At 43.0% G+C, this 15,102-nt stretch overlaps 1 protein-coding gene across 30 annotated transcripts in view, besides 1 other annotated feature; it reads right to left on the bottom strand.

The window, feature by feature from the left end:
- DIP2A (disco interacting protein 2 homolog A) overlaps positions 1 to 15,102 on the bottom strand; it is a 124,981-nt gene that overhangs the window by 71,609 nt on the left and 38,270 nt on the right. For 10 of the 30 annotated variants that reach the window (NM_001353943.2, NM_001410751.1, NM_015151.4 and 7 more), the window contains 4 exons: positions 13,430 to 13,681; positions 7,774 to 7,902; positions 2,887 to 3,006; positions 649 to 846 (listed from right to left, as the gene is read on the bottom strand). In NM_001353943.2, coding sequence (NP_001340872.1) covers positions 649 to 846; positions 2,887 to 3,006; positions 7,774 to 7,902; positions 13,430 to 13,681 — 699 coding nt within the window. Of the gene's footprint in view, positions 1 to 648; positions 847 to 2,886; positions 3,007 to 7,773; positions 7,906 to 13,429; positions 13,682 to 15,102 lie in introns of all 30 variants that reach the window. The other 20 variants (XR_007067785.1, XR_007067784.1, NM_001353942.2 and 17 more) reach the window with 5 other exon arrangements.
- Positions 11,692 to 11,831: an enhancer, noted in NCBI's record as "active region_18606". NCBI's record gives its function as "activates an Ori minimal core promoter by ATAC-STARR-seq in GM12878 lymphoblastoid cells {active_cell/tissue: GM12878}" and the evidence as "EXISTENCE:reporter gene assay evidence [ECO:0000049][PMID:35858748]".

The raw sequence follows: 15,102 nt of genomic DNA, 5'->3' as shown, positions 1-15,102 counted from the left end.
CACTATACACAATAGCCCCAAAGTGGAAACCACCCAAATGTCCATCTACTTAAGAGTGTGTAAGTAAGTTCCAGTATATTCACACGATAAAATAATACCATCAATGAGAATAAACTAAAAGAACACTTGTTTAAAGGCAGGTAAAGCCAACAGTGTGGGCAGTCAGGACAGTAGTTACCCTTTGCGTGTGGAAGGGGTGTGAGGGGCTTTGAACCTAGCAACACTTCTGCTTGGAGTGCTGATTACAGGACCATATTCACTCTGTGAATTCATCAGGTTGTATATATGCTTACTATTTGTGTTACAAAAAAAACATAGTATGGAACCAAAAGATGTCAAACACACAGAAATACATACTGCCTGATTCCCCTTATACAAAGTTGAAAATAAGACGAAACTAAACTACACTGTTCAGAATGCATACATAGAACGCTCCAAACACTTGAACCCAGAGCAATGGCAGTCACCATGCATCAGTGAGTGGTCCCCTCCGGTGGGATGGGTACCTGGTATAGGTCAATGTTCTATTTATCTGCCAGCTGTGCTGGTTTCTCAGGAATATTTATCAAGCTGTATGTCTATGCTGTGTTATGTGTGTGACATTCTACAGCTAACCCAGAAGCACAACTGCTTTCTGTTAACACTTGCCATAGGTGAGAGTGTAGACGGCTTTCCCAGTTGTATCCAAGGCAGTCAGACAGGGGGATTTGGGCTGTGTTGTGCCCCAGCGCTGCAAGGTGGCCAACAGCGACGGCGGTCGGGGGACACCTGCAGTGAGAGGCTCCCCTCTCAGCACACTCGTCTCGCTTCCCTCAGGCTTTGGCTGATTTGGATCTGGTTGCTGAACTACAAGCAAAATCAAAACTTTAAAATCAGCAATTCAGAGCACCACGAACACATTCTGTTTTTAAGCATTCATAGTTTATAATATTGTTTTTTAATCCCAACTATAAAAAAGCTTACAATAATTTGTTTCGATTTTTGCATCACAGTCACCGACAACTAACCAAAGGATTAAAGGAGCTTTAGTCATGGATGATGACGGCTGTGAAATAAAGTTAAAAACAACCCACCATCCTGGTGACCACAACCTCACAGACAAAGGTGACCTTGGAGTGGTTCCCACTTTCCCAACTTCTGGACAGGACTGTGGCACCTCTGCTACCCCCGGCACCACAGCGGTGAACAGCCAGGTATCCACAGCCTGGAGATAGGACCTGGTGGCCCACTCACACAGGAGGAAAGCAAGCAGAACCACCACTTCAGCCTAGGGATCCAAACAACTATCACTATGTTCAAAGAAAAAGAATTAAAAGATTATTTGATTATAGGCTGGGCGTGGTGGCTCATGCCTGTAATCCCAGCACTTTGGGAGGCCGAGGCGGGTGGATCATGAGGTCAGGAGATCGAGACCATCCTGGTTAACATGGTGAAACCCTGTCTCTACTAAAAATACAAAAAAAAATTAGCCAGGTGTGGTGGTGGACGCCTGTAGTACCAGCTACTCGGGAGGCTGAGGCAGGAGAATGGCGTGAACTCAGGAGGTGGAGCTTGAAGTGATTCGAGATCGCACCACTGCACTCCAGCCTGGGCGACAGAGTGAGACTCTGCCTCAAAAAAAAAAAAAAAAAAAAAGATTATTTGATTATATAGCTCCTGGAAAAAGATTACTTTAATCTTGTTTTTTACTTTAAAAAGAATTAATCTTTTTCTAGGAGCTGTATAACCAAAATTTGCCCAAGTGGTAAGAAACACTGCTCTAAGATGCATTCATACCAATAAACTCTGAATTTGAAAGGCACTGTGTGATGGCTAATATTGATGTCAACTTGATGGGATTGAAGGATGCAAAGTATTCTTCCTGGGTGTGTCTGTGAGGGTGTTGCCAAAGGAGATTAACGTTTGAGTCAGTGGACTGGGAAAGGCAGACCCACCCTAAATCTGGGTGGGCACAGTTTAATCAGCTGCCAGCACGGCCAGAATAAAGCAGGCAGAAGAACGTGGAAAGACTAGACTGGCCTAGCCTCCCAGCCTACACCTTTCTCCTGTGCTGGATGCTTCCTGCCCTAGAACATTGGATTCCAAGTACTTCAGCACTGGGACTCAGACTGGCTTCCTTGCTCTCAGCTTGCAGATGGCTTACTGTGGGACCTCACCTTGTGATCGTGTGAGTCAATATGCCTTAATGAACTTCCCTTTATATGTATACATCTATCCTATTAGTTCCGTCCCTCTAGAGAACCCTGACTAATACACACTATCTGATTACAACGGGGAAATAATCTCCTGAAAGCTATGTCTAATCCTCGGGTGTGGAGGAGACTCTGGGCTGGTCGGCTGTCAGCAGTGTCACTGTACAAACAGCCAAGGTCTGCGAGTAGGACCAGCATGGGGCCCCTGTGGCCCTAACGACACACTCACATGTTTGTACTGGCTTCATTTCTGGTTTCTGCTTGCTAGTTTTCTCTTTTAAAAAATATGTGTGTATTCTTCCTAAATACGTATTTCATTCACATATGAGAGGCTAAAATTCTGAAAAGCAGCCAAATCTATGCTGAAAATTAAATACTTTAAAACCACAAGAAGGTAAGTATTTCAGAGTTAAAGTTTAAATTAAACATTTAAATAATGTAAGTTAAATAAAACCGTAGAAGAATTTTTATGAAATGCCAAGTCACTTGAATATGAGCAGCAAATTTTCTACCTGCTCAAATAAAGGAAGCAGTCATGTGATTCTAAATTCACCATTACACCCAGTGACCACTGAGTCTGGAAACAGAATATATATAGCAATATCCATGTATAATATACATTTGCCTGTGTTTCTCAACTTCGTGGCCACCCTTTTCATACAAACAGAAAAGCTCAAAGTTGGACAACTCTTACCTTCCAACAATTCCTCAAAATCATCCACAAAGAACTCCTTCAGTGGAGGGCGCTTTGGCCTCTTCAGGGTGTTCAGAAGCTGCTGGATTTTGGAGGACACTCTGCTGTTCACAGGGACACCTGTCACGGGAAGGACAGAGGAGCACTGAGGCCAGGACACATCTGAAGAAGTGGACACAGGTGTAAGGTCCAAGGACAAACCACACGATGCATCAGAGCTTACAAATCCATCCAAGTGTGGGCCCCACTGGACAGTCATTTTGGAATCAATTCATTTAGAAAACACTTACTGAATGCCTTCCAGGAAACAGGACTTGTTCTAAGCTAGCAGGTTTTTTTTTGTTTTTGTTTTTTTGCTTTAGACGGAGACTCACTCTGTTGCCAGGCTAGAGTGCAGTGGCATGATCTCAGCTCACTGCAATCTCCGCCTCCTGGGTTCAAGCGATTCTCTTGCCTCAGCCTCCCAAGTAGCTGAGTCTACAGGCATGCGCCACCACACCTGGCTAATTTGTATTTTTAGTAGAGATGGGGTTTCACCATGTTGGCCAGGATGGTATCGATCTCTTCACCTCGTGATCCACCTGCCTTGGCCTCCCAAACTGCTGGGATCACAGGCGTGTGCCACCGCGCCCGGCCTAAGCAGTTTTTTAAATGGTCCAGGGACCCCTGGGGCATCCAAGTCCCTTTCAGGAAGTTTATGAGGTCACGACTATTCCATGGTAATGTTAAGAAGTCATGGCCCTGTAATCCCAGCACTTTGGGAGGCTGAGGCAGGTGGATCACGAGGTCAGGAGATCGAGACCATCCTGGCTAACACAGTGAAACCCCATCTTTACTAAAAATACAAAAAATTAGCCGGGTGTGGTGGCGGGCGCCTGTAGTCCCAGCTACTCGGGAGGCTGAGGCAGGAGAATGGCATGAACCCGGGAGGCGGAGCTTGCAGTGAGCCGAGATTGCGCCACTGCACTCCAGCCTTGGTGAAAGAGGGAGACTTCTTCTCAAAAAAAAAAAAAAAAAAAAAAAGTCATTGGCCAGCCAGGAGCAGTGGCTCACAGCTGTAATCCCAGCACTTTGGTTAGCTAAGGCAGGAGAGGATCGCTTGAGGCCAGAAGTTTAAGACTAGCCTGGTCAACACAGCAAGACCCTGTCTCTACAAAAAATTTAAAAAATAAAAAATTATCTGGATGTGGTGGCTTGTGCCTGCAGTCCCTGCTCCTTGGGAGGCTGAGAAGGAAGGATTGCTTGAGTCCAGAAGTTTCAGGCTACAGTGAGCCATGATCATGTCAGTGAACTCCAGCCTGGGCAACAGAGTCACTATTTAAAAAAAAAAAAAATGGGGGGCTGGGCACAGTGGCTCACCCCTGTAATCCCAGCACATTGGGGTTCTGAGGTGGGCAGATCACTTGAGTTCTAGACTAGCCTGGCCAACAGGTCAAAATCCCATCTCTACTAAAAAATACAAAAATTAGCCAAGCTTGCTGGTATGCACCTGTAGTAAAGAAAAAAAAATTAGCCAAGTGTGGTGGCAGTTGCCTGGAGTTCCAGCTACTTGGGAGGCTAAGGCAGGAGAATCGCTTGACACCAGAAGGCAGAGGCTGCGGTGAGCCAAAATCAAGCCACTGCACTCCATCCTGGGTGACAGAGCAAGACTTTGTCTTAAAAAAAAAAAAAAAAAAAAAAAAAAGAACAGAAAATTAAAAAAAAAAAGCAGAGTTGGAGGACTCAAACTGTATAATTTCAAGAATTTTAAGAAAATCACAGTGGTCATGGCTATACGAGGTGTAAGGACAGATAAATAAGGAAACGGAACAACACACAGAGCCCAGAGCCCAGAAATAGACCCTTCCCTCTCCAACATGGTCTACCGATTTTCATTAAAGATGCCAAGGAAACTTGGTGGGAAAAGAATGGTCTTTATTATAAATGATGCTAGAACAACTGAATACCCACATACAAAAATGTAAACTTTGATTCATACCTGATACTTAGGCTAAAATTAACTCAAAATGAACTATCTACCTAAATGTAAAAACTAAAACTATAAAATTCTGGAAGAAAATATAGGAGAAAACATTTGTGACCTTGGGTTAGACAAAAATTTCTTAGATATGACACAAAAGCACAATATATAAAAAAATTTGGTAAACTGAATGTCATAAAAATGTAAACCATCTGCTCTTTGAAAGGCATTGTTAAAGCAAGCCAGACTGGGAGAAAATACAAATGATAAACCTCATATGGGATGACTTGTATCTAGAATATATAAACAGCCCTCAAAACTCAATAAGAAAACAAGCACAATTTGGCTGGCCACAGTGGCTCACACTGTAATCCCAGCACTTTGGGAAGCCAAGGCAGGCAGAGACGAGGAGTTCAAGACCAGCCTGGTCTCTACTAAAAAGACAAAAATTAGCCAGGCATCGTGGCACATGCCTGTAATCCCAGCTACTCACGAGACTGAGGCAGGAGAATTGCTTGAACCTGGGAGGTGGATGTTGCAGTGAGCCAAGATCGCACCACTGCACTCTGCCTGGGTGACAGTGAAACTCCGTCTCAAAAAAAAAAAAAAAAAGAGAAGAAAGAAAGAAAAGAAAGAAAAGAAAAGAAAGAAAGAAAGAAAGAAAGAAAGAAAGAAAGAAAGAAAGAAAGAAAAACAAGCACAATTAAAAAAAAAAATAGGCCAAAAGTATGAACAGATACTTTCCCTCAAGAGATACACAGATGGCAAATAGGTGCATAAAAAGATGTTCAACACACCATCAGCCGTTAGGGAAATGCAAATTGAAACTGTAATGAGATATCTCTACATGCCTATTGGGATGGCTGAAATTTTTTAAACATAATACCAACTGTTGGAAAGGGTGTGGAGGAACTGATACTCTCACTACTAATAATGAGAATGTAAAATGGTACAATCACTTTGGAAAACAGCGTGGCAGTTTCTTAAAAAGTTAAAATAGGCTGGGTATGGTGGCTCACACCTATAATCCCAGTACTTTAGGTGGCCAAGGCAGGTGGATCACTTGAGGCCAGGAGTTTGAGACCAGCCTGGACAACATGGTGAAATCCCATCTCTACTGAAAATGCAAAAATTAACTGGGCGTGGTGGCACATGCCTGTAATCCCAGCTACTTGGGAGGGTGAGGCAGGAGAATCGCTTGAACCCAGGATGGCGAGGTTTCAGTGAGCCAAGATCATGCCACTGCACTCTAGCCTGGGCAACAGAGTGAGACTCAGTCTCCAAAAAAAAAGGTGAAATACACCTACAATATAATTCAGCCATTCTACTTCTAGGTATTGACCCAAAAGAAATGAAAGTACCCATCTATGCAAAAACGTATACAAGATTGATTATTCATAGCAGCTTTACTTGTAACCGGCCCAAACTAGAAACAACCTAAATACACATCAACAGGTGAACAGCCAAATTGTGGTGCATCCATTTAATGAAATATTACTCAATGAGAAGGAGTAAACTATTGATACAGAACATGAATGAATCTCAAAATAATTATGGAGAGTGGTAGAAGGCAGACCATAAACGTAAACGCTGTATGATTCCTTTTATATAAAATTCTAGAAAATGCAATCTAATCTATAGTGACAGAAAGTAAATCGGTGGCTGCCTGAAGTGTATGGGGAAAGCCAGAAGGATCCGAAGAGAGGAGGACCAAGGAACACAAGGACACTTTTGGGCGTGCTGGATATGGTCACTATCTTGATTGTAGTGATGCTTTCCACAGCTGTACAAATGTCTTAAAACTTTTGAGAAAGGAGTCTCACTCTATCGCCCAGGCTGGAGTGAAGTGACACAATCTTGGCTCACTGCAACCTCCGCCTCTCGGGTTCAAGCGATTCTCCTGCCTCAGTCTCCCGAGTAGCTGGGACTATAGACGCCCGCCACCACACTCGGCTAATTTTTTTGTATTTTTAGTAGAGATGGGGTTTCACCACGTTAGCCAGGATGGTCTCGATCTCCTGACCTAGTGATCTGCCCGCCTCAGCCTCCCAAAGTGCTGGGATTACAGGTGTGAGCCACCGCGCCCAGCCGAAACTGTACACTTTAAATATGTGCAATTCATTATGTCAATTACCCTTTAATTAAGCTCTTAATTTTTTTAAATATAAAGAGTAATAAATTGAATTAAATACATGTCTAGCCAATGTACAGACTGCTTCATGTTGATTCAGTATTTTTCTTCTGCCTCTGGACAAGGAGATGAAAGCCCTCAACAAAATCTGACACTCTGTTTGGGAGTACCAACATATATGATAGGCCCTAGCTCTGAGCTCCTCTTAATTTTTATTTAAATTATTATTTTGGGAAAAAAATTGACATGATTTTGATAAAAGACATTGAAGACTGTTTCAAAAAGAAATGGTGTAAATGAGGACATTATGAAAGTTACACTGACATCTCTGAGCCTGCACATGGGAAACCATGATTGCTGTTGCACCGATTTCACAGTCTGCTGAAGATGGAGAGTGTAGGGGGCTGTTCTGTCATAGGTGGGTGTGTGCACTCGCACTGACTAAGTCATTCTGTCTGCCACATTGAATCTAAATAAAGAAACTTCCCACAGCTTCTCATTTCCCTACTATATTGCAGATCGAAACGCCCTTTGCATCCTATCTAAATTTGGAAGTCTTTTCCCTCCCCACTCTCCTCGTTTCCCCTCTGACCAATTCCATTGATATTTCCAATTATTTCTCCACATGATGCTTTCTATAACATTAACTGCACACACTGGTTTCTATTTATCTGCATGGATTAAAACTGACGTTTGGCTTGGGTTTGCTACAGTGAATACATTAAAGCTGTGTTCAATACCCAAAGACAAAACCTGTGTTCTGCTATTTCACGAGGAGAAAGAGAGGCAGGCTCACCATCTGCTGTTTCCAGCATGCTCCCGCTGCACCCCCGAGGAACACTTCTCACAGAAGCCACCTGTGGACGCTCAAAGTACGAATGCTCCACGAGGCCCGTGGTGACATCAGGAGGGGCAGAATGCAGATCTGCTTTTGAAAAACACACCCAAAATGAAAGTGGCTGTTAAGTCAAATGAGTATTAAGCTGCTCTTGAAACCCCGTTAGTCTAAAGCTCCACTAGCTGAGTTCTAAGTGGGGAGAGTGTGGTATTTTCATTAATTTGTTTTCTTGGCTGACCAAAGGCATACTGGGACCCTATGAACTCCCAGACACGTTATGCAGACATCTGCGTGCATGTGGGTGGCTCAATTCTCAAAGGGATCCAGACTCAGAACCACCATCTTCAGCACAGAGGCAGGCACAGAGTAAACCTGCCTGTCACAATGGCCTGATGAGATTTTGGTTAGAAATTCCCTCAAGGGGCTGGGCATGGTGGCTGACACCTGTAATCCCTGCACTTGGGGAGGCTGACATAGGCAGATCACCTGAGGTCAGGGGTTCGAGACCAGCCTGGCCAACATGGCGAAACCCCGTCTCTACTAAAAATACAAAAATCAGCCGGGCGTCGTGGCACATGCCTGTAATCCCAGCTACTGGGGAGGCTGAGGCAGGAGAATCACTTGAACCCAGGAGGCGGAGGTTGCAGTGAGCTGAGATTGCACCACTGCACTCTAACTTGGGCAACAGAGCGACACTCTCTCTCAAAAAGAAAAAAGAAAGAAAGAAGGAAGGAAGGAAGGAAAGAGAAAGAAGAAAGAAAGAAAAGAAAGAAAGAAAGAAAAAGAAAGAAAGAAAAAGAAAGAAAGAAAGGAAAGAAAGAAAGAAAGAAAGAAAGGAAGGAAGGAAGGAAGGAAGGAAGGAAGGAAGGAAGGAAGAAATTCCCTCAAGGAAGCAGAAACAAATTTGAAATCAATTGTCACTGGTACATTTTTTTGTTACATTATGAAAAAAACAGCCAGGATCATACAAACTACTACAACCCCCAAAAAAGTATGTTGGACACCAAACCTTTGCAGTCCTAAAAGAATAAAACTACAGAAATTAAAACTTCCCCCACTGCCAGTTAAAACAGCTGCAAAACTAAGAGACCACAATCAAGTTCCTTTTTTTTTTTTTTTTTTGAGATGGAGTCTCACTTTATCACTGCCCAGACTGGAGTGCAGTGGCACAATCTTGGCTCACTGCAACCTCTGCCTCCTGAGTTCAAGCAATTCTCCTGTCTCAGTCCCCCAAGTAGCTGGGATTACAGGCATGTGCCACCACACCCAGCCAATTTTTGTATTTTTAGTAGAGACGGGTTTTCACCATATTGGCCAAGCTGGTCTTGAACTCCTGGACTCAAGTGATCCAACCACCTCGGCCTCCTGAAGTGCTGGGATTACAGGTGTGATCCACCGCGCCTGGCCACAATCAAGTTCTTAAAGTAGAATTGGTGTAACATTTAAAAACAGACATTAGATCTGGAACATATGTAAAAGTCACTCCTTCCATTGTCTGAATGTACATTTTTGTGTTTTATTTCCATGGTACAGTCCATCTATCTGTTCAGAATGCTGGCTGACTGTAAGTTCCTATAGGAATTATGGTTATAATTGGGTCTACCACTAGGAAAGGCACTGTGTCTATATGACTATAGAAATTGTGTTCTACCACAACAATGAATACACAGATGCTCGCCCATTTATAAGAATCAACATAGGGGCCAACATGGTAGCTCACACCTGTAATCCCAGCAATTTGGAAGGTCAAGGCGGGCAGATCAGCTGAGGTCAGGAGTTCGAGAATGGCCTGGCCAACACGGTGAAACCCTGTCTCTACTAAAAATACAAAAATTATCCAGGCGTGGTGGTGCATGCCTGTAATCCCAGCTACTCGGGAGGCTGAGGCAGGAGAATCGCTTGAACCCGGGAGGTGGAGGTTGCAGTGAGCCAAGATTGCACCACTGCACTCCAGCCTGGGGGACAGAGTGAGACCCTGTCACAAAAAAAAAAAAAAAAAAAAAAAAAAAATCAACACTAGCTGTGCAGTGGCTCACACTTATAATCCCAGCACTTTGGGAGGCTGAGGCAGGAGGATCACTTGAGCCCAGGAATTTGAGATCAGCCTGGGCAACATAGTGAGCTCCCATCTCTTAAAAAAAAAAATTAGCTGGGCATGGTGGTGGACACCTGTGGTCCCAGCTACTTAGGAGGCTGAGGTGAAAGGACCACTGGAGCCCAGAAGTTCCAGGTTACAGTGAGCTAGGACCATACCGCTGCACTCTAGCCCGGGCCACAGAGTGAGATCTTATCTCCAAAAAAATAAATAAATAAACACTAGTCTATGTTAGGTAGAGACAACTGGTAATGTTTAATATTTTAATGAAGGTACCTGTTAGTATCACTGTGGTACTCCTAGGTACAATGTAAAGCAGTAACTTTTTACTAGGTTTGTAGAAAGCTGAAGTATATGAAAGCACAAACTCACTGTCTGCATAGCAGAATATACCTTTTGAAAAAATCTAAACCGTTAAGATTTTTCACAACCCTTGAAAAAGCCTGATGCTGATCAAATTAGCATTTTAAAGTATGTCTATCAGGAGGTTCTTTTAGTTTAAAAAGAAATTTCCCCACTCTTCCAAATCTAGCAAAAAGAATAAATGATTTTAAAAGTATATATGGAAAAAAAGGTATACATGGTATACATACATGTACTACAAGTAGTTTTTTAAAACAGCTATATAATGGCTGGGAGCAGTGGCTCATTCCTATAATCCTAACATTTTGAAAGGCCAAGGCATGAGGATCACTTGAGCCCAGGAGTTCAAGCCCAGTCTGGGCAACACAGTAAAAACTCCATCTTTCCAAAAAATTTTTAAAAATTAGCTAGGCATGCTGGCATTTGCCTATAGTCCCAGCTGCTCAGGAGGCTAAGGTGGGAGAATTTCTTAAGCCCAGGAGTTCAAGGCTGCAGTGACCTATGATCATGCCACTGTACTCCAGCGTGGGTGACAGAGCAAGACCCTGTCTCTAGGTGGAAAAATAAAAAAAAAAGCTGCATAAAAATAAACATAAACTACATTCAAAATAAAAATAAGCTACTATAATTAAAAGAAGCTACTATAATTAAAAGTACTGCTTTTAAAAATAGGTATTTACATTTGTATAAAAAAGGCTTAATGTATTTGATTTCCTTAATCCAAAACTGAAAGTGATATATTTTTAAAAATTATCTTTACCTGATATGTTCTACCTCGAATTTTTTACTTAATATATTCTTCCTCTTTTCATGTTTCTTTCCTTAGTTTAAATTGAAGACACATCTAGTGTTAGAAACTAAAACAAAGGATGATTTCTGTCATAAGAGGGAAGTTGAGTATTTTTGAGATTTAGAAATTCAAATTAACTATGTCCAACATTTAGGATGTGGGTAGCTACAATCTGTAGAAAATTGCAATCCTGTAAGCAAAGTATTAAATCAAGTCCAAGTTAAGAATTTTTTTTAAATGTATTAGAATTGATCACAAAATGTTGATGCTAGGACTAACAAGAAAGGAAGAGATGATTACAGCTGCATCTGCAGGAGTCAGGAGCTGTCTTCCACCAACATAGGTAATAAACCTACATTATAAATAATTGCAGCCAAGTCCTTTTCAGAGAATGAAAACATCTAATTCAAACACACATTAGAGTTCAATGCTTTGCTTAAAGACACCCCACAATCACTGGAAAGTTGAGGGCTGTACGGTTAAACATTCTGAACTGTGGCTAATTTTTCATGCTGAATAAGCTTTTATTTCTAACCCACCCGGAAACAGTGTTGAGATGACTCAGCAATGGCTAATAAACTCAAACTACAAATGTTTTGTTTGCTCTCCTGCACCATCTCACCTAGAAAGGAGCTTCTGGGAGAAGAAATGAGGTAACAGAACATTTAAAACTACTGTTTTCCTGCCCCTGCCTCAGAATTGGAGTTAACTATGTATTTCTACAAAGTTAAATCACCAACGATGAACAGAGAAGGCAAACAACAGTGCAAAAGCTGTTTTCAAGATATGGACTGTACACCACCTTGAGGAAAGGTGGGCAGCAGCCTCTGGCCATGGAACACCCAGGAAAGCTACAGAAACAATCTGAGCAGGCTGTTTTCCTAAGAGAAACTTTCTCTGTGGAAAATGCTGCCTGCTGCTACCCTTGTAGTCTTGGCAGTTCCTTTATGAGCTGGAAGCAGTGTGGAGACAGAGCAGGGCACTGTGAGCTTTCATCTGAGACGGACGCCTCAGAAGAAGGACACATGTTCAATGGAAACACAAGAGATGTGCTGACTCAAACAAACAAAAACATGAAGAGCAACAGTGATGCACACTACAGAGGATGATGAGACAGAAGCTGTGGGCCACCCAACATACCCAACTTGCCCCCAGTCCAGCCAAATGACCGAGGTCTTACAAAAAAGAGCTCGGCACCCATGGGGACCCCAGCACAAACACCAGCGTGTCACAGGTGTCACCTTTCAGTTTTGGCAGAAAAGCAACAAAAAGCAAAGAAAATGAATAGGAATCAAGAAAACTGGTATCAGCCCTGGCTTCACCACTTAAGGCTGCTGTCTGATCTCAAGCAAGTTACAATCGCTGGACTTTTTTTTCTTCCTTCCTCATCTGGGAAAAAAAGGAGGGGATTAAGATGAGTCTTCAACAATACTGATTGTATTTTAAGGTACTTGTGCAAGAGTGTATGTGGGTTTCACATGCCAGCTACATACAGCTAACTATGCTGCTGTTTTAGTTAAAAAATAGAATTTCAAAGGATGAAAGGTTTACACTTTTTTCATCTCTAAGATGAATGTAATTTAAAGGATTCCATGATTTGGGAAAGATCCATGCATCATATGATTAGCTCTGACTGACACCTTTTCAGGCCAAAGGCTGTCTAACCTGGTATCTGGAGGAGCGAAAGCCCTCTACCCCAACCTCAGAATTCCAGCCAGGTACAGAGACAACCAATGGGCCTGCAGCTGTGAACACATAGCCAAGAGGAAAGGCACAGACAACAGAGAGGCGGCCAGGTCAAGGGTGATGATCACAGCCACCAGCAGGTATGGATGTGTGCTGACCATCTACCCCTGCACCTACTGCATGCACCAGCTTCCCCTCAAGAGCAGGAAGGTGTTATGACACTGAGAAACACCACACCCTTCTGGGGGACTATGAGAAATGCCCCATGCCCCAAAGGACTAGGACTGCCAAATTAAAGAAGTATCAACAACTACTTTTGTTACCAAAAGGACATTTCCCAGATGAAAAATACGTAGGTCTTGATGGGGGAAAAAATTTGCAACTGAGCTGTATTGTTCAAAAGGTTATTAGGGATTTAATCTGAATGATGAATTAACCAAATATTAGCCCATTTCTTTCAAGTGCAATTATTAAAAGCTCAAAATCAATTTAATGTCTCAGGCAGATAAGCCAGTATGGGTTATCTGGGTTGTGTGACCTCAGTCACTTGGAGAGCACTCAGGCCTGCAGCTAAGTCTGCAGGGTGGCGCCTGGCTCAGGTGCCCTCCATCTGCTCCTCTGTCCTGGACACTCCTGACCCCGCTCTGCTGGCACAGGGGCCGCAGCAGCTTATTACTGACCTATGTGGGTGTGGGCCTCGAGGCCTGCGAGTGCAGTGGTAGCGGCGGCCCCCGGCGTGGCTGCAGCACTGGGAGCAGTGGTGGGTCTCCCTCCCGGGTGAGATGAGGTGGAGGATGCAGAGGATGAGGTGGACGAGCCCTGAATGACCCGGTCGAGCCAGGGCTCGACGCTGGAATGGCTCTGGAGCGGAGTGGAGGTGAGTCGCCCGGGTCGCCGTAAAGAGCCCTCATCTTCTGAGGCAGACGACGTGTCTGTGGTTAAAATAACGATGACAGGCATGATATCGGGATGAGTCAAGAGGAGGACGGAGTTCCCACTCACACTGGAGCCTCCCAGACCTGTGTGCAGCATGCTTCTGTACACCTGGCACAGCTCTGCCCAAAGCCACGCAGTCAGCTCAAAGGTCACCCTCAATCTAGAAGGGCATGCAAGAAGCCCTACTGTGGGGAAAATGATTCCATGAGCCCCCAGCTCCCCAGAGAGAACTCAGCCACAGGGTACCAGACACACTCAGTGAAGACAGCCTCTGATCTCCTAAACGGCTTCAGCATATACCTCAGTGGGGGTGTTCTGTGAATATTCAGTGCTGCACTGCATGTCCACAGAGTCGGACACCATATCCACACATCAGTCAGCATCACCCAGGGGAGAGCCTGTGCCCGGCCCTACATCTTGGAGGCAGTGAGAAGGCATCCTGGCCTGTGCATGGCCCCAGCAACAACATGGTGGCCATGGGAGAACCGCAGCCCTGTCTACATGCATCCTTTCAGGGGAGTCATGTGAACTAGCCCTAAAAACAATTCCTTCTCCGAGAAAATTGCTTCAGACAACAAAATTAACTGTACATTAAGGTTTCTTCAAGTCAGCATGACTGTGTGTTTCATTATGGGTTTTACAATTATTAAAACATTATTTTAAAATTGGATAGTGTCTATAGCTATATTTAGCAAAAACAATAATTTGACAGCCATTTCTAAGATTTTTTTCAACAATAAACTTCTTTTAAGCAAGAAAGTGTTACCAAAACCACTAAATCATCTTACGAATCTGGTGTGTTTGGTTTTATTGTGTAGTATCTCCAAATACCTCAAACCAAAAATGGGTGTCACTATTTTTGATACTTTAAATATATGACAACAATGCAAGTTCATGAATGTGAAGTCATTAGACACTATCGACATCTTGTACAGTTTAACAGGAAGACTAAAATACATTATTGCTAGAGAGAAACCTCATATAAAAGTTTTCATTTCTAATGGTACCAACAATAAAACAACAACAAAATCAACCGCAAAACTTTCCAAATAGTCTTATACTGTTGCATATAAGTCCTGGTTACAACCTGTTAAGTTATAGGTAATAAGATGACAATAACTGTAAAATTCCTAATTCAGGAAGCTTTAGCTTAGTGCTTATTTTAGGCTCCTCTTAGTGCTTTAGGTTCTTCTCTTTACTAAAAGACATAAATAGCATCTTAGTAAAAGAAATTAAGATCCACACAAAAAGTCTTATAGAAAGCAAGTACCCATTTGGGTAAGAATACTATGTACACCATAGATTTTCAGGTAAGGAATACGAGCATATGCAAACATTTTTAATCTCCAAATGCGTCCAATCTATACTACAGGCCAGACGGATATTCCAACTCAATGGGAAGTAAATAGGATAACAT

This window comes from Homo sapiens, chromosome 21, assembly GCF_000001405.40.
Source record: "Homo sapiens chromosome 21, GRCh38.p14 Primary Assembly".
Classification (NCBI taxonomy): Eukaryota; Metazoa; Chordata; class Mammalia; order Primates; family Hominidae; genus Homo; species Homo sapiens.
This window is presented reverse-complemented; position numbering and strand designations above follow the sequence as displayed.